The following is a 19263-nucleotide window of genomic DNA, read 5'->3' on the forward strand; positions in this document are numbered from 1 at the left end:
TACTAAAAATACAAAAATTAGCTGGGCATGGTGGCGGGCGCCTATAATCCCAGCTACTCGGGAGTCTGAGGCAGGAGAATCTCTTGAACTCAGGAGGTGGAGGTTGCAGTGAGCCAAGATTGCACCACTGCACTCCAGCCTGGGCGACAGAGTGAGACTCCATCTCAAAAATAAATAAATGAATAAGATAAAATAAAAATACAAAAATTAGCCGGGTGTAGTGGTGGGTGTCTGTAATCCCAGCTACTCAGAAGTTGAGGCAGAACTGCTTGAACCCGGGAGGCAGAGGTTGCAGTGAGCCAAGATCATGCCACTGCACTCCAGCCTGGGCGACAGAGCAAGACTGTCTCAAAAAATAAAATAAATAAAAATTTTAAAAATACATAAATATATATATAAATAGGTACATATATGGTATAGGACATAAGAAATAACAAAAGGAGAAGAATTTAGTTCTGTAGGTCAGATAATTTAATAAATATTTCAAATAAATATATAATAAAAACTGAAATAAAATGTCAAGAATGGGGAACTAATGGTATTAAGTTTTATATAGAAGGGCATGAGGGAAGTGTATTAAAATTTGTTCAAATTTATGACTGAGAGGGCTAAGAAGGTACTTAATTTCCTCAGATGATACTTTGCGAACATGTGGTCTATTTGGTTGACCTTTGCAAATAGTTGAACAACCACACCGTGTATTCCCATACCCCCTAGACTGCCTGTCCAGGCCAAGCCTTAGTACCACGAGTCCACAGTGAAGTCCACTCCAGGTTATCTGCATAGGTAGCCCAGGCACCTTTCCTCTTTTCCTTTAGGTGCCTCCCCTCTACCCACAACCTCTTATTTCATCTCAAACACAGCTATTACAACATGTTTTATTTCACTGGAAAATTCTGTAAAGAACTAAATCTGGTTCCCTTGAAGAAAACATTTAGCACAGCTTAAATAAAAGTTGAGAAGGAGGGTAAGAGTGCATTGCCCCATTCTAGCTCTGTTGCTACCTTACCTCTGACTCTAAGGCCCTGTGGGATGAAAAGCAGGTATCCAAAAGAACTCTGCTTGGCCCTCTGATACGGCCTTGAGGTCAGCCCTGGTGCCTGCTTTCTGGCCCACAGACCGCTGAAATCCTAGGAGCTGCCATGGGAGTTACCAAAAATATGTGAATAAACTGAATGCAGAGGCTGAGGCAGGTGGATCAACTGAGGTCAGGAGTCTAAGACCAGCCTGGCCAACATGGTAAAACCCCATCTCTACTAAAAATACAAAAATTAGCTGAGCGTGGTGGCGGGCACCTGTAATCCCAGCTACTCAGGAGACTGAGGCAGGAGAATCATTTGAACCCGGGAGGCAGATGTTGCCAGTGAGCTGAGATCACGCCATTGCACTCCAGCCTGGGCGACAAGAGCAAAACTCAAAAAAAAAAAAAAAAAAAAAAAAGGAAAAACAAAACCCAGAATGCAGAAACTGCATTGGTATTTTGAGCTAGTTACAGGCAGTAACACTTCTACTAGGAAGGAAAATATATAATTTATCCAAAAATAGTTCTAAGATTTAGAAAAACATCTCAATCCTCTAGGGCCAAGACCTGCCCCTTATTTACATTCACAAAGCCATTAAGTGAACCCAGAACTGACCAGCAGACAGTGAGGCAGGGCCTGCTCTGTGGCACATGCCAGTCACCTACTGCGTAAGTGGACAAAGAGAAAGCAGAAGGTAATGGAGAGAGTTTTCATTTGCTTATTTAGTGAAAAACAGAGGAAAATCACTCGAGGCAAAAGAAGCAGGACTGAGTCCTGGGTTAGTTCTGATTCCTCACAAGCCCTAAGACAAGATTTTGAAAGATTGGACTAATGTCATGTGTCCTTAAGAACCAGGGTCAGCAAGTGGCTGATCTGAATGGTTTGTGGCCATGGAACCAATGTGACTTATTCTTTTTCATTTTTTTCCCTAAAAATCCAGGTGGATAAAGGACTGTGTGGGGAAAGTACCAAATAAATGAGGTAAAAAGGAAGGGTCATACAAAGAGGGCACTACACCAGCTTCTTGGCCTCAAAGAAGCTCTTGAGGTGACGCATCTGCCAGATGCCAGTGAGGATGAGGATGACAGTCTGAGCAATGGACCACCATAGGACCCTCTGGTTGGTGCTCTCGCTCGTCAGTCGGAAGCGCTCTTCACGATACTGTGTGGGGCAACACAGGGTTAAGTGAGCAGGAGAAACAGTCTGGCTGTTGTGAGGTCCCTCCCTGCGTGTAATTACTCAACTCCAGGACCAAACTCCTTTTGGAATACTATCTGTGACTCCATTAGGAGTGCTATGGTCTCCCCACTGAGGCTGCCCCAAGAAAGGGACAGGCTGTCCCTCCACAAGCATCTCTGTTAGGACTGAAATCATGATCCTACCATTTCCAACAAGAGTCCAAGAAAAACAGGTAGGCAATGGCTATTACTAGATTGTGAACTGTCCTTTCTTCATTTTATTTTATAGAGCTTAAAAATGACTACTGAAAGCGAAATGTGGCACATGCATACAATGGAATATTAGCCTTAAGAAATTCTGACACATGCTATAACATGGATGAACTGTGAGAACATTATACTCAGTGAAATAAGCCAGTCACAAAAGGACAAATACTGAATGATTCCACTTATATGAGATAGGGTAGTCAGGATCATAGAGACAGAAAGTAGAATGGTGGGTGTCAGGACAAAAGGAAACGGGAAGTTATTGTTTATAATAAGTACAGATTTGCTGGGTGCAGTGGCTCACGCCTGTAATCCCAACACTTTGGGAGGCTGCGGCAGTGGATTGCCTGAGGCCAGGAGTTCAAGACCAGCCTGGCCAACATGGTGAAACCCAGTCTCTACTAAAAACACAAAAATGAGCCACGCATGGTGGCACTTGCCTGTAATCCCAGCTACTTGGGAGGCTGAGGCAGGAGAATCGCTTGAACCTGGGAGGCGGAGGGTGCAGTGAGCCGAGATGGCGCCACTGCGCTCCAGCCTGGGCAACAGAGCGAGACTCCATCTCAAAAACAAAACAAAATAAGTACAGATTTTTAGTTTGAGAAGATGAAAAAGTTCTGGAGCTGGATGATGGTGTTGGTAGCACAACATTATGAAGGCACTTAATACCACTGAACTATATAGACAGTTAAAATGACACATTTGGTGTTATATTTTACCACAATAAAATGTTTTGATAAAAAAGCAAAACAGGCAGGGCGCGGTAGCTCACACCTGTAATCCCAGCACTTTGGGAGGCTGAGGCGGGCGGATCACTTGATGTCGGGAGTTCGAGACCAGCCTGACCAACGTGGAGAAACCCCCGTCTCTACTAAAAGTACAAAATTAGCCAGGCATGGTGGCGCATGCCTGTAATCCCAGCTACTCAGGAGGCTGAGGCAGGAGAATCGCTTGAACCTGGGGAGGCGGAGGTTGCAGTGAGCCAAGATCATGGCATTGCACTCCAGCATGGGCAACAAGAGTGAAACTCCGTCTCAAAAACAACAAACAAACAACCTATCTAAACCAATACTTCTCATTCCATTCTCTGCAGAGCTGATCTCCCAAGCAGAAACTTGAGTAGGTATAGTGGGTATAAAGGTCAACTGCCCTCTCAAATTACAAGGAGATATGCACTTGCCCTTTGGTAATCCTGCTCCTTCTGAATCTGTTCCACCTGATCAAGCAACTGGCGGGCGCGGAGCTGTAGCTCCGTCAGCTTATCTTTTGCAGCAATCTCAGGGTAGTTGTTGGCATGCTCCCCAACCTGGATGTCGAGATGCACCCGCTACAAGGAAACATGGAATGTATGAGTGGTGGGGCCTCCAGTTGTCTGTTCCAGGGTATGGAACCCACTATTGTCCCTGGCTGTGGAGCAGAAGGCAACATCTGTCTCCCCAATTCTGACTGTGCTACAAAGTTTCACAATCTTGATAAATCAAAATTTGGAAACAAGTGAGAGATTCTAAGCTGAAGCCAAAGAGAAAATCCTCTTACCAGTTTGCCACCAGCGAAGAGAGCCATCCTGGTAGAATTGGAGTGCAGACAGATTTGATGGTCACCGGGCGTGTGGGAGGTGAACGTGAAGCGGCCCTCCGAGCCGTACTGCCGGGACAGCACCACCTGCAACATATGTGAGTGAAGGCCCCACCTTTATACCGCAGGCTCTCCAAGTGCAAGTTCCTGTCCCTTGAGGCCTCCTCCAGGCAGTGCTTTACACCCCACGGGAGCTCCACTGAAGAACGGCTGCGTGGGCCAACGCCAGCCTTACCTTGCCGTCGGGGTCCTTCACTTCCACGTGCATGCCCAGGCCAGGGGTCGAGGGCAGGAAGACCTCCTTCTGCTTATCCCACATCTGGGTACGATAGTTGCCTGCGGGGCAGACACATAGTCACGACCGGCCCTAGTGGGCCGCCTCTCCGCCCGGCCCCCTCCGACGTGCGGCCCGGAGCTCTAGGCAGGGGGCCTGGCGTCCTCGGGGCACCCTCAGGCTAGGTACTGGGGGAGCCAGCGACCCGGCTGGGCTCGGGAGGAGGGAGCGCCGCCGAGGGCTGAGCTGGGTACAAAGGGCCTCCCCACCCTCAGCCCGCCTGACCGATGACCATGGTCTCGTCGGGGATTTCCTCGATGAAACAGCGCTTCTCGGTCTCGCCGATGTGGAAGTAGAGCCCCTGGGCGCCTGTGGCGCACAGCGCGAGAAGCAGCAGGGCCTGCCGCCCCATCGCCCGCAGAGGCCCAGCCCCGACACCTGCCATCGCGCCTCAGCCCCTAAGCGCCTGCGCACATTTGCGCATCGCTCTGCGCCTGCGCGCCACCCTAGCGACCCTGAGAGTTAGGGGAAGAGGACGCCTGCGCAGTGATATGTACTCGCCGTCTCCTGCAACTCCATCCGTACCGAACACTGCCGCGCCCCGCCCCCTCACACAGCCCGGCGCCCGCCTACCCCCGCAACGAGAGTAGAGGGCGCATGCGCAATGACGTTCGCCCTTAATTTCTCGCCCCTTACCCCGCAGCTTACCTCCGGCATCTCGCAGGGGAGGCACGCCTGCGCAGTCACGCCCGCCCTCGGCCCCAGTCAGCGATTTGGGTCTCGGAGCACCAAGGAGACGGTGGACGGAATCTGACCAGGCTTGGTGGCTACGATGGCCTGAAGCGTGCCTTTTGGGTTCTCAGCTCGGGCTCACAAGTGTTTTCTGTGCTAAATACAAAAAGCCCTGTGATGTTTTGCTTTGCGTGTCCACCTATCTGACTCGTAAGAACCGAGGCTGAATCCAGACCCACACTCTGTCACGTCGGGAGAGCCTGCCGCGGCGAGCCTCTGCGAGCGGGCATTTCTTGGGTGGGGACCAAAAGCCCAGTGCTGCCATAGTTTCGGATCATTCTTTTAAGAAGCTGGGGCCGGGCGCGGTGGCTGGCACCTGTAATCCCAGCACTCTGGGAGGCTGAGGCGGGCGGATCCCTTGAGCCCAGGAGTTCGGGACCAGCCTGGGCAACATGGTGAAACCCCCGTCTCTACAAAAAATTAACCGGTGTGGTGGTGTGCGCATGTAGTCCCAGCTACTTGGGAGGCTGAGGCAGGAGAATCGCTTGAACCCAGGAGGTCGAGGATGCATTAAGCAGTGATCGCGCTCCAGCCTGGGCGACCGAGGGTGATACCTTGTCTTAAAAAAAAGGTGGGAGAGTGGAACGAAAACTTGGAATAAGTAGGGTCATGGAGCTTGTTTACATCCCCTAGTTACAGCACATCCTTTTGAAAGTGAAAAACAAACTGGAATGTTACTTAGTGGGCATGGAATCGAAGCAACGGAAGGTTAAAACTGTTTTTATCAAGGCCAGGCGGGCGCGGTGGCTCACGCCTGTAATGCTAACACTTTGGGCGGCCAAGGCTGGTGGATCATCTGAGGTTAGAAATTCGAGACCAGTTGGGCCAACAAGGTGAAACCCCCGTCTCTACTAAAAATACATTTTATCAACAGAATTTCGAAACTTTTATATAATAGAATAATTACAATGAACTTTCATAAAGAACTTGAGCATACCTGGATTTTGGTATCCGTAGGGGTCCAGGAATTATCCCCCTTGGATAATAACGGAGGGCTGTACTCATCATCCAACTTCAACAACAGTTTGCTGCCTTTCTCATTTCATGTATCCCTTTCTGCATTTTTTTTTGAAGTGCTGTATATTAAAGCAAATCCTGGACATCATGTCATTTCACCTATAAATACGTCAGTGTGTGTCTCTAACAGATAAGGACTTTATACTATTATCACACCCACCAAAATTTTAAAAATTATTTAACATCACTTAATACCTAGTATGTGTTTAATTTTCCCCATTGCCTTAAAAAATTTTGTACATTAGATATTTAGGGTCCAAACAAGGTTTACTTACTGCATTTCATACAAATATATGTCTCTTAATATATAACAATTTTGGCTGGGCACAGTGGCTCATGCCTGTAATCCCAGCACTTTGGGAGGCTGAGGTGGAAGGATCACTTGAGGTCAGGAGTTTGAGACCAGCCTGGCCAACATGGTGAAACCCTGTTTCTACTAAAAATACAAAAATTAGCCAGGTGTGGTGGTGCACACCTGTAATCTCAGCTACTTGGGAGGCTGAGGCAGGAGAATTGCTAGAATCAGGGAGGTGGAGGTTGCAGTGGGCTGAGATGATGCCACTGTACTCCAGCCTAGGCAACAGAGTGAGATTCTATCTCAAAACAAACAAAAACAGGGCCGGGCGCAGTGGCTCACACCTGTAATCCCAGCACTTTGGGAGGCCAAGGTGGGCAGATCACGAGGTCAGGAGTTCGAGACCAGCCTGGCCAATATGGTGAAACCCTACCTCTACCAAAAATACAAAAATTAGCTGGGTGTGGTGGTGCTCACCTGTAGTCCCAGCTACTTGGGAGACTGAGGCAGAAGAATCGCTTGAACCCAGGAGGCAGAGGTTGCAGTGAGCCGAGATCATGCCACTGCACTCCAGCCTGGGTGAGAGAGAGACTCGTGTCCAAAAAAAAAAAAACAAACCATATAACAACATATATATATATTATACATATTATATATATATTATATATATAAATTTCCCCTCTCTTTTTGTTGTTTGTTATTCATGGCATTTACTTATTGAAGAAACTGGGTCATTTGACCAACAGAATTTTCCACTTTCTGGGTTTTGCTGATTGTATCTTCAGGTGTCATTTAACGTTTTTTGTCCCTGGTATGTCCTGTAATCACAGTTAATTCTAGAGTCAGGGGAGGTTTACAGTGAAACTAATGAAGCTTAATCTTCAGGCCCTCCCTTGCATAGACCCCCGTACCTAATTTCGCATTTATAATTTTGTGTCTTTTTCTTAAAGAGGACTGTGAAATTTGTATAGTTTAAGGCCCCACAAAGCTTGGATTTGCCCCTGGCTAGAAGCTTCATTAGGTTTAGGTGTAATGTTGAGGTTTGGGTTTTTTTGTTTTGTTTTGTTTGCAATAACGCTTCGTGGCTGGCACTATGTACTTCTACTGAGGCACAAGGCGGGTTTGTCTCTTAGTAATATTGTAATTCATCTCTCAATTTGGGGGTTGTCATCCTGATTATCCATGAAGTTTACCATCAGCCTTTCTTCTAATAGTCTAGCAAACGTTGATGATCATTAGACCATTGGTTCTCAACGAGGGTTGATTCTGCCCTGTCCTACCAAGGGGAAATTTGGCAATGTCTGGAGATATTTTGGATTGTTGCAACTGGGTGGGGGGTGGCGGGTGGTACTGCTGTTATCTAGAAAATGAATGCAAGGAATACTGCTAAACATTGTATAATTCACAGAGCACACCTCCCCCCCACAGCGAAGAATTATCCAGCTCAAAATGTCAGTAGTACCCAGGTTGAGAAACCCTAGTGTAGTTTTATGATGTTCCTTAGGTGTGCAAAGTGGTAATTTCAAATGCTCTCATTTCTCCTGCATTTATAAGATGAGATTCTTCTACAAAGGTGAGCATTCCCTCATCTCTCTGGTTACTTTGAAATACAATCCATTCGGGATAGCCAGGATGTATGCTTGATGCTTTCCCACGCACAGTGGCTCTGCCTATAATCCCAGCACTTTGGGGGGCCAAGACAGGAGGACTGCTTGAGCCCAGGAAATGGCAAGATCTTTACAAAATATGTAAAAATTAGACAGGCATGGTGATGCATGCCTGTAATTCCCGCTACTTAGGAGGCTGAGGCAGGGAAATGGCTGGAGCCCAGGAGGTTGAGGATACAGTGAGCCGTGATGGGACGACAGCACTCTAGCATGGGTGACTGAGTGAGACCTTGTCTCAAATAATAGTAATAATAATAAAGATGGATGGATGGATGCCCCAGCAACCTCTAACTGTGACCACTTTGGGTTCTTTGGGGAGAAGGGGCAGTGCTATCATGAATTGATGGATGTTTAGATATTTGATGTGCTTTAATCCATTACAGTCATTGTCCTTTTTTAAATGTTCAGATTGTCTCATCAAATATTTAGTTGCTGCTGTGTCCTTCTGGCACAATCCTAGTAATCCACAATCCTAGTAGTCTTTAGGTCAAGCTTGTCCAACCTGTGGCCCATGCAGCCCAACACAAATTCATAAACTTTCTAAAAACATTATGAGATTTTTTTTTTTTTAGCTCATCAGCTATTGTTAGTGTATTTTATGTGTGGCCCAAGACAATTCTTCTTCTTCCAGTGTGGCCCAGGAAAGCCAAAAGATTGGACACCCTGGACTTCCTTGCTTTCCGTTTTATACATTTACTGCCCAGAAACAAAACCAACCATTTCTCCAAGGAACCCTAATTCACTTTAGTGAGAAATGGTATTTGTATTGGCAAACTTATTTTCTTTCTTTTTTTTTTTTTTTTTAAGGAGGATCCTGAAATTTGTCTTAACTGAGAGATAATATTAAAGAGATTGTATTCTCCACTGCAGAAAATTTAACTTAGGAGGTGAGGCACTGTGGCTCATGCCTGTAATCCCAGCATTTGGGAGGCCGAGGCAGGAAGATCGCTTGAGTCCAGAAGTTCAAGACCAGTCTGGGCTACATGGTGACACCCTGTCTCTACCAAAAAAAAAATTAGCTGGGCATGGTGGCATGGGCCTGTAGTCCCAACTACTCGGGAGGCTGAGGTGGGAGGATTGCTTGACCCCCAGGAGGTTGAGGCTGCAGTGAGCTGTGATGGTGCTGCTGCACTCCAGCCTGGGCAACAGAGTGAGACCCCATCTCCAAAAAAGAAAGAAAATTTAACTTAGGGAGTCTAATTCCCCAGATGAGAGATTTTTCTGCTCAGAAGCCATGAAGCAATTTCTGCCGATGTTTGTCTAGGCTCTTTGTCTAGACCAGCCACCCCGTCCTTCATTTGTTCAACCAGTATGTGCTGTGCAGCCATTTGTGCCAGCCACTGTTCTAATGGGAAAACACAGGTGACCAAAACAAAAATCCTTGTCTAGGCCAGGCGCAGTGGCTCACGCATGTAATCCCAGCACTTTGGGTGGATCATCTGAACTCAGAAGTTCAAGACTAGCCTGGACAACATGGCAAAACCCCGTCTCTACCAAAAATACAAAAAATTAGCCAGGCATGTGGCAAGCACCTGTAGTCCCAGCTTCTCTGGAGGCTGAGGTGGGAGGATCACTTCAGCCTGGGAGGCAGAGGTTGCAGTGAACCGAGATTGTGCCACTGCACTCTAGGCCTGGGTGAGAGTGAGGCTCTGTCTCAAAAAACAAGAACAACAGCAACAAAAATCCTTGTCTCCATGGCTTTATCTTGATTGTCGTCTGCCAAACAAGATAAATAAAGAAATATAGAGCATGTCAGATGGAGATAAGTATCAAGAATAAAAATAAGGCAGGGAAGAAGAAAGTATAGTGGACTTAGGCCAGGCGCAGTGGCTCACGCCTGTAATCCCGACACTTTGGGAGGCTGAGGCAGGGGGATCACGAGGTCAGGAGATCAAGACCATCCTAGCTAACATGGTGAAACCCCGTCTCTACTAAAAAAATACAAAAAAATTAGCTGGGCGTGGTGGCGGGTGTCTGTAGTCCCAGCTACTCGGGAGGCTGAGGCAGGAGAATGGCGTGAACCTGGGAGGTGGGCTTGCAGGAAGCCAAGATCGCGCCACTGCGCTCCAGCCTGGGCGACACAGCGAGACTCCATCTTAAAAAAAAAAAAAAAAAAGAGAGTATAGTGGACATAATGGGGGACCAGAAGACATGTCCATGTTTGAATCACTGGAACCTGTGAATGTGACCTTATGTGGAAAAAGAGTCTTTGCAGATGTAATTCAGGATTTTGAGACTTGATAATCCTGGATTAACCAGGTGGACCCTAAATCCAATGACAGGTGTCCTTATAAGAGATAAGAAATACCTCACCTAATAATAACTACTATTAGAACAACAAAAACAGAAAATAAATTGTAGAAGAGTGTTAAATAATTAAAAGTAGAACAATCATATACCCCAGCAGTCCCACCTGTAAGTATTTATCCAAAGGAAGTAAAGTCAGGATCTGGAAAAGATACCTACACGCCCATTTTCATAGCAGCATTATTCACAGTAGCCAAGAGGTGGAAGCAATGTAAATATACATTGTACCTACCGCAAAATGTGGTATATACATACAATGCAGTATTATCAAGCCATAAAAAGGGATGAAATTCTGATTCATGCTACAACATGGATGAAACTTAACATTATGCTAAGTAGTATAAGTCAATCACAGAAAGACAATTGCCATATGATTCCATTTAGATAAAGTGTCTAAAGTAGTCAAAATCATAGAAGCAAAAAGTAGAATGGTTACCTGCGGGGGGAGCTGTTGTCTAATGGGTACAGAGTTTCAGATTAGCAAAATGAAAAAGTTCTGGACATCTGTTTCATAACAATGTGAATATATTTAACATACTGAACTGCACACCTAAAAATGGTTAACATGGCCAGGCGTGGTGGCTCACGCCTATAATCCCAGCACTTTGGGAGGCCAAGGCAGGAGGATTGCTTGAGCTGAGGAGTTTGAGACCAGCCTAGGCAACATAGAGAAACCCTGTCTCTACAAAAAATGTAAAAATTAGCCAAGTGTGGTGGCACATGCCAGTGGTCCCCAGTTACTTGGGAGAGTCAGATGGGAGGATGTCACGAGCCCAGGAGGTTGAGGCTGCAGTGAGCTGTGATTGTAACACTGCATTCCAGCCTGGGCAACAGAGTCTCAAAAAAAAGGTTAAGATGGTAAATTTTATGTTAAGTGTTTTTTTCTCTAAATACAAAAAAAAAATGTAAAAAAAAAAAAAAGAAAAGGAGGCACTATGATCACAGAGGCAGACACTGGAATAATAATGCTGCCATAAGCCAAGGCATGCCTGGAGCCACCAGAAACTGGAAGGGACAGGAAAAAAAGTCTCCCCGAGAGCCTAGGAAGTGCAGCCCTGCCCACTCCTCACTTCGGACTTCTGCCGTCCGTGACTGAGAGAGAGAATACATGTCTTTTTTTTTTTTTTTTTTTTTTTTTTTGAGATGGGAGTTTCACTCTTGTCGCCCAGGCTGGAGTACAATGGCGTGATCTCGGCTCACTGTAACCTCCGCCTCCTGGGTTCAAACAATTCTCCTGCCTCAGCCTCCCAAGTAGCTAGGATTACAGGCACCTGCCACAACGCCCAGCTAATTTTTGTATTTTTAGTAGAGACGGCGTTTCACCATATCAGCCAGGCTGGTCTCGAACTCCTAACCTCATGATCCGCCCACCTCAGCCTCCCAAAGTGCTGGGATTACAGGCATGAGCCACCGCACCTGGCCTTGTTGTTTTAATCTATCATGTTTCTGGTAATTTGTTATGGCAGCCACAGGAAACTAAAATGTAAGGAGTGTTTAGTTGGAGGTGTGGGTGGGTACAATTTTAGACAGAGTGGCAGTAAGGCTCCCCAAGAAGGTGCCAGATGAAAGGCCCCTCAGGAGGGGCAGTCGTGTGTATGCCTGGGAAAAGAGTGAAGGCTGGAGGCTAATGCATGTCTGGTGAATTAGGAGGGCAAGGAAGCCAGCGGGGCAGGAGGACAGCATGTGAGAACGTCAGAGGAAAAGAGTCACAGATGGGCTGGCCTTTTAGAACATCTGAAGGACTTTGGCTCTTACCCTGAGCAAGAATTCTTTAGGGGGTTTTGAGTGAGGAATGACAATCTGAAGTAGGTTTCAGAATTATCCTGTCCAGGCAAGAGACAATCATCCTAACGTAAGGATTATCAGTGGGTACAGAGAATTTTTGCAAATAGCATTAAATCTTTTTGTTTGGTTGGTTTTTGTTGTTTTGTTTTGTTTTGTTTTGTTTTTTGAGACAGAGTCTCGCTCTGTTGCCCAGGCTGAAGTGCAGTGGCACGATCTCGGTTCAGTGAAACCTCTGCCTCCAAGGTTCAAGCAATTCTCCTGCTTCAGCCTCCAGAGTAGGCGTGCACCACCATGCCCCATTAAATTTTGTATTTTTAGTAGAGACGGTGTTTCAACATGTTGGCCAGGTTGGTCTCAAACTCCTGACCTCAAGTGATCTGTCCGCCTTGCCCTCCCAAACTGCTGGGATTACAGGTGTGAGCCACCGCACCAGCCCGGTTTGGGTTTTTTTTTTGAGGCGGAGTCTCACTCAGTTGCCCAGGCTGCAATGCAGTAGTGTGATCTTCACTCACTGCAGACTCGGCCTCTCAAGCAATCCTCCCACCTTAGCCTCCCCAGTAGCTAGGGCTACAGGCACGTGCCACCATGCCCAGCTAATTTTTGTATTTTTTTTGTAAAGATGCAATTTCACTATGTTGCCCAGACTGGTCTCAAACTCCTGGGCTCAAGTGATCCACCCACCTTGGCCTCCCAAAGTGCTGGGATTACAGGCGCGAGCACCTGTCCTTAATAGCATTTAACCTGATCTAAGCAGGTCTTTTATCCCATCTTGCAGTTTACAGGAAATTTAGGAGACAGAGGGCAAAGTTAGAGGAAACAATAAGGCACATCCAGAGTATGGGAAAGTTTGCCTCAGCCCTTCAAAAACTAAAGTCAAGAAGAGAGAGAAGATAAAGAAAGTGGGGGAAATGTACTAGTTTAAAAGAGACCAAGGCTGGGCGCAGTGGCTCACACCTATAATTCCAGCACTTTGGGAGGCCCAGGTGGGTGGATCGCTTGAGCCCAGAAGTTCAAGACCAACCTGGGCAACATGGCTAAATCCCACCTCTACAAAAAATACAAAAGTTAAGCCAGGAGTGGTGTTGTGTGACTATAGTCCCAGCTACTCAAGAAGCTGAGGTGGGAGGATTGCTTGAGTCCAAGAGGTGGAGGTTGCAGTGAACCCAAATCGCGCCATTGCACCCAGCCAGGGTGACAGAGTGAGACCCTATCTCAAAAAAATAAATAAAAAGATGCATAATACCAAAAAAGACGTGAACCTTGATTGGGCTTTGGTGTGTTACTGTCTGCAAAGACCACTGCTGACAATTCCTCCAATCCCTATAAACACATACTGTTCCTCCCATTGAGGGGTGGAGTCTATTTTCCCTCAACTTGAATTTGAACTGGCCCTGTGGTTTGTTCTGACCAATTCAATGCAGTGGAAGAGAAGCTATATGACTTCTGGGGCTTAGGCCATAAGAGACCTTGCAGCTTCCATTTTCATTCCCTTGGAACCCAGCTGACAGGAGGTCCAGCCCACCCAATTGGACCAGTCATTGGAATGAAGCCATCTTGGATCCTGCAGTCCCAGTGGAGCTGCCCCAGCCAATACCAAATGGAACGCTGATGAGCTATCCCTACTGAAACCACACAATGCAGTTATGCAACTGGAAAAAGTCAGGAAGCTCTCTATGAACTGAAAAGCTTTATACGAATAGAAAGATTTCCAGGATATACTGTTCAATTTGTTTTCCTTTCTTTTTTTTTTTTTTTTTTTTGAGACGGAGTCTTGCTCTGTCACCCAGGCTGGAGTGCAGTGGCGCAATCTCGGCTCACTGCAAGCTCCGCCTCCCAGGTTTGCACCATTCTCCTGCCTCAAACTCCCGAGTAGCTGGGACTACAGGCACCTGCCACCGCGACCGGCTAGTTTTTTGTATTTTTAGTAGAGACGGGGTTTCACCGTGTTAGCCAGGATGGTCTCGACTCCTGACCTTGTGATCCGCCCGCCTCGGCCTCCCAAAGTGCTGGGATTACAGGTGTGAGCCACCGCGCCCAGCCTTTTTTTTTTTTTTTTTTTTTTTTTGAGACAGAGTCTCACTCTGCAGCCCAGGCCCGAGTACAGTGGCGCCATCTCAGCTCACTGCAACTTCTGCCTCCTGGGTTCAACTGATTCTCATGCCTCAACCTCCCAAGTAGCTGGGATTACAGGTGTGCACCATCACACCTGGCTAATTTTTGTATTTTTAGTAGACATGGGGTTTTACCATGTTGGCCAGGCTGGTCTCGAACTCCCAACCTCAGGTGATCACCCACCTTGGCCTCCCAAAGTGCTGGGATTACAAGTGTGAGCCACTGCACCTGGCCATCAATTTGAAAAGCAGATGCGGAAGAGAATACATAGTAAACTCTCTTTGGTATTTGTACCTTCATGAAAAAACACTGGAAGAATATTTAAGAAACTAATGTAAGTGGTTATAGGTAACCTAAGATTTAGCTCATATACACCAGTAGGGTTATACTGGTTAAAATATAGAAATATTCTTGTCCTGGTCGGTAAATGGCCACTACCAAACCCCTGAATTCCCTCCACCTCTGCTCTCACCCCAGGATAAATGACTGCCCCATGATCCAACAAGAGTTAACCCCAGCAGGGAAGGGGTCTGGCAAGCCAACAAAGAATGAGGTGGATGGTCATGGGGTAGGAGACTTTACAAACAAAACTTTTAAATATACTTTTTATTTCTGAGCCATATGAATATGTCACTTGGTAAAAAGGAATTTGAGGCGAGGTATAGTGACCTATGCCTATAACCCCAGCACTTTGGGAGGCTGAGGCAGGAGAATGCTTGAAGCCAGGAGTTTGAGGCTGTAATGAGCTATGATCATGCCACTGCACTCCAACCTGGATGACAAAGTGAGACCCTGTCTCTAAAAAAATAAATAAATAAAAAATTAAAAATCAAAGTCAAAAGGAGTTTGAGAGTAAAAAACAGAAAATAATGTGTTATTTATTTAATAAAATAAAAATTAAAAATTAAATGCTAGAGACCAGGCGCAGTGCCTCATGCCTGTGATCCCAGCACTTTGGGAGGCCGAGGAAGGTGGATCACCTGAGCTCAAGAGTTTGAGACCAGCCTGGGCAACATGGTGAAACCCTGTCTCTACCAAAAATACAAAACTTACCTGTGTATGGTAGCACATGCCTGTGGTCCCAGCTACTCAGGAGGCTGAAATGGGAGGATGGTTTGAGCCTGGGAGGCAGAGGCTGCAGTTAGCCGAGATCACACCGCTGTACTCCAGACTGGGTGACAGAATGAGACCCTGTCTCAAAAATTAAGAAAGAGGCTGGGCGCGGTATCTCACACCTGTAATCCCAGCACTTTGGGAGGCCCAGGTGGGCAGATCACCTGAGGTGAGGAGTTCAAGACCAGCCTGCCCAACATGGCGAAACCTCATCTCTACTAAAAATTCAAAAAATTAGCCAGGTGTGGTGGCAGGAGCCTGTAATCCAAGCTACTCAGGAGACTGAGGCAGGAGAATTGCTTGAACCCAGGAGGTGCAGGTTGCAGTGAGCAGAGATCATGCCACTGCACTCCAGCCTGGGCGACAAGAGCGAAACTCCGTCAAAAAACAAAAAACAAAAAAAAAAGAAAGAGAGAGAAAAGAAAGAAAGAGAGAAAGAAAGAAGGAAAGAAGTGCTATTGCCACTCTGAGTGAAACTTGGTCAAAAAACAAAAAAAGAAAGAAAGAAAGAGAGAGAGAGAAGAAAGAGAGAGAAAGAAAGAAGGAAAGAAGTGCTACTGCCACTCTCTATCACAGTACCATTTTATCTATGGATTTCAAACCATCAATTACTACCTTGTTTGTACATCCTGAAAATGTCACCTCTGTAATAACATAGATCCCGCCTGTCTGTTGTGTTCACCTCTGTATCCCCAGCACCTAGAAGCAAACCAGTATAAATATTTGTTGAATGAGGCTGGTTGTGGTGGCTCATGCCTGTAATCCTAGCAGTTTGGGAGGCTGGAGCGGTGGATTGCCTGAGCTCAGGAGTTTGAGACCAGCCTGGGCAACGTGGCGAAACCCCATCTCTACTAAAAATACAAAAAATTAGCTGGGCATGGTGGCGGGCGCCTGTAATCCCAGCTACTTGGGAGGCTGAGGTGCAAGAATCGCTTGAACCTAGGAGGTGGAGGTTGCAGTGAGCCAAGATCGTGCCACTTCACTCCAGCCTGGGCAACAGAGTGAAACTCTGTCTCTAAAAGCAAACAAATAAACAAACAAATATTTGTTGAATGAATATGGAATGTATACTTTAATGAAAAATCATACTGAGCAAAAGTTATGGGATGTAGTTAAAGGCAGTGTTCAAAGGGAAATATATAGTTGTAAATGTCTACATTTAAAGAAGATCATGTGTAAAATTTGTGATAGTGGAAATGAAGAAAGATATCAAATCAATAACCAAATTTATACCTTGATGAACTTGAAAAAGAGCCAACTAAACCCCAAACTAGCAAAAGGAAGGACACAATAAAGATTAAAGTAGGGATAAATAAAATAGAGGATAGAAAAACAATAGAGTCAATGATAGCAAAAGTTGGTTCTTTGAAAAGATCAACAAAATGAACAAACCTTTCCCTACACTAACACAGAAAAAAGAAGACACAAATAATTAAAATCAGAAATGAAAGTGGAGGCATTACCGACCATATAGAAATAAAAAAGATAAGAGAATATTATACAAAATTACATACCGTGGGGTGTGGTGGCTCACGCCTATAATCCCAGCACTTTGGGAGGCCAAGGTGGGCAGATCACCAGAGGTCAGGTGTCGGAGACCAGCCTGGCCAACATGGTGAAATCACATCTCTACTAAAAATACAAAAACTAGTCAGGCGTGGTGGCGGGCGCCTGTAATCCCAGGTACTTGGGAGGCTGAGGCAGGAGAATCGCTTGAACCTGGGAGGCAGATGTTGCAGTGAGAGGAGATCGTGCCACTGTACTCCAGCCTGGGTGACAGAGCGAGACTCTGTCTCCAAAGTAAAAATAAAAATAAATAAATAAATAAAAATACAAAAATTAGCTGAGTGTGGTGGAACGTACCTGTAATCCCAGCTACTTGGGAGGGTGAGGCAGGAAGATAGCTTGAACCTGGGAAGTAGAGGTGGCAGTGAGCCAAGATTGCGCCATTGCACTCCAGCCTGGGTGCCAGAGTGAGACTCCATCTCAAAATAAATAAATAAATAAAAATAAAAAAATTAGCTGGGTGTGGTGGCAGGCACCCGTAATCCCAGCTACTTGGGAGGCTGAGCCAGGAGAATCTCTTGAACCCGGCAAGCAGAGGTTGCAGTGAGCCAAGGTCATGCCACTGCACTGCAGCCTGGGCAACAGAGAAAGACTCCATCTCAAAAAAAAAAAAATTACATACCAACAAGTTTGATTAATTTACATGAACTGGACAAATTTCTAGAAACACACAAATTACCTAAAGTGACAAAATAAAGTCCAGGAATAGTTTCCCTGGTAAATTCTATCAAACACCTAAAGAATAATTAACACCAATCCCCAATCCTTTTTTTTTTTTTTTTTTTTGAGACGAAGTCTCGCTCTGTCACCCAGGCTGGAGTGCAGTGGCACGATCTCAGCTCACTGCAACCTCCACCTCCCAGGTTCAAACAATTCTCCTGTCTCAGCCTCCCGAGTAGCTGGGATTACAGGTGCCCGCCACCACACCTGGCTATTTTTGTATTTTTGGTAGCGATGGGGTTTCACCATATTTACAGGCTGGTCTCCAACTCGTGATCTCAGGTGATCCACCCTCCTTGGCCTCCCAAAGTGCTGGGATTACAGGCATGAATCACCTTGCCCAGCCAACACCAATCCTTCTTAAACTCCTCCAACAAATTGAAGAGCGGGAACATTTCCTAACTCATTCTATGAAGCCAGCATTAACCTAATACTAAAGCCATTTAAAGACATCACAAGAAAACAAACCAATATCTGTTATGATTCTAGATGTAAAAGTCCTTAACAAAATAGTAGCAAACCAAATCCAACAGCATATTAAGAGGATTATATATAGCTGGGGGCATGGTGGCTCATGCCTGCATTCCTAGAACTTTGGGATGCCAAAATAGGCAGATCTCTTTGAGCTCAGGAGTTCAAAACCGGCCTGGGCAACATGGCGAAACCACATCTCTACAGAAAATACAAAAATGAGCCAGGCATGCTGGCTTGTGCCTGTGGTCTCAGCTACTTGGGAAGCTGAGACTGGAGGATCGCTTGAGCTGGGAAGCAGAGGTTGCAGTCAGCCGAGATTGTGCCACTGCACTCCAGCCTGGGTGACAAAAGCGAGGCCCTGTCTCAAGAAAAAAAACAAGAGGATTATACACCATGACCCAGTGGATTTTAGCCATGAATGCACAAGTGGCTCTGTGAAGCAGGTCCTCTGTGCACTGGTTACCACTTCAGCCTACTGCCTCTTGGGCTGCACTTTTACTACTTTCCTGAATCCAGCGAGGCAGAACACTGCCTCACATACACAATAAGTCACATGAAACAGGTTTACTATTTATAGATAGGCAGCAAGGGACAACAGCAGCCTAGGATTCAGATTGAGCCAGTACCCCAAGGCTCAGGAAGGCTGCTTGAGGCAGTGAAGTCTCATCTGTACCTGCCCCACTTGCACCACAGTTGAGAGACCCCAGAAAGTAGTCGGCCAAGGGTTTTCTATCCCAGGGACCACATGAAACACTGGGCTAAAGCACTGAAAGACATCCTGTTTCAAGGAGAAACTGGAATAGAGCCCAGGCTGTTCCAGCCAATTCCCCCCATCTCAGGATGTTGCAATACCAGCCCATTCTACAGTTATTCTTGAAAACTATAAGTGAGAAAGTGGGGGAGAACTGGATCAGTTCAAGGCCACCCAGAGAACTGTCCTGCAGGTTCAATGTAAGAAAATCAATTCATGGCCAGGCATGGTGGCTCACGCCTGTAACCCCAACATTTTGGGAGGCCAAGGCGGGCAGATCACTTGAGCTCAGGAGTTTGAGGCCAGCCTGGGCAACATGGCGAGACCCCATCTCTACAAAAAATATTT

General features: G+C 46.2%; 1 protein-coding gene across 6 annotated transcripts, besides 4 other annotated features; it reads right to left on the bottom strand.

The window, feature by feature from the left end:
• Positions 1–448: 448 nt before the first annotated feature.
• On the bottom strand, positions 449–4786 carry TMED4 (transmembrane p24 trafficking protein 4). Of its 6 annotated transcripts, none has more exons than NM_001303061.2 (5): positions 4609–4786; positions 4278–4378; positions 4004–4129; positions 3648–3794; positions 449–2183 (listed from the first exon to the last, which is right to left on the bottom strand). In NM_001303061.2, the coding sequence occupies exons 2-5, from the start codon at positions 4359–4361 to the stop codon at positions 2034–2036; spliced, it is 507 nt and encodes a 168-aa protein (NP_001289990.1). In that variant the 5' UTR covers positions 4362–4378; positions 4609–4786; the 3' UTR covers positions 449–2033. The 6 variants fall into 6 exon arrangements, with proteins under 6 accessions (NP_001289990.1, NP_872353.2, NP_001289988.1 ...); NM_182547.4 differs by having other exon boundaries at positions 4602–4786; NM_001303059.2 differs by lacking the exon at positions 3648–3794 and having other exon boundaries at positions 4602–4786.
• Positions 4410–4509: a silencer, noted in NCBI's record as "silent region_18145". NCBI's record gives its function as "represses an Ori minimal core promoter by ATAC-STARR-seq in GM12878 lymphoblastoid cells {active_cell/tissue: GM12878}" and the evidence as "EXISTENCE:reporter gene assay evidence [ECO:0000049][PMID:35858748]".
• Positions 4910–5069: a silencer, noted in NCBI's record as "silent region_18146". NCBI's record gives its function as "represses an Ori minimal core promoter by ATAC-STARR-seq in GM12878 lymphoblastoid cells {active_cell/tissue: GM12878}" and the evidence as "EXISTENCE:reporter gene assay evidence [ECO:0000049][PMID:35858748]".
• Positions 5160–5269: an enhancer, noted in NCBI's record as "active region_25943". NCBI's record gives its function as "activates an Ori minimal core promoter by ATAC-STARR-seq in GM12878 lymphoblastoid cells {active_cell/tissue: GM12878}" and the evidence as "EXISTENCE:reporter gene assay evidence [ECO:0000049][PMID:35858748]".
• Positions 10944–10993: an enhancer, noted in NCBI's record as "active region_25944". NCBI's record gives its function as "activates an Ori minimal core promoter by ATAC-STARR-seq in GM12878 lymphoblastoid cells {active_cell/tissue: GM12878}" and the evidence as "EXISTENCE:reporter gene assay evidence [ECO:0000049][PMID:35858748]".

This window comes from Homo sapiens, chromosome 7 (genome assembly GCF_000001405.40).
Source record: "Homo sapiens chromosome 7, GRCh38.p14 Primary Assembly".
NCBI lineage: Eukaryota > Metazoa > Chordata > Mammalia > Primates > Hominidae > Homo > Homo sapiens.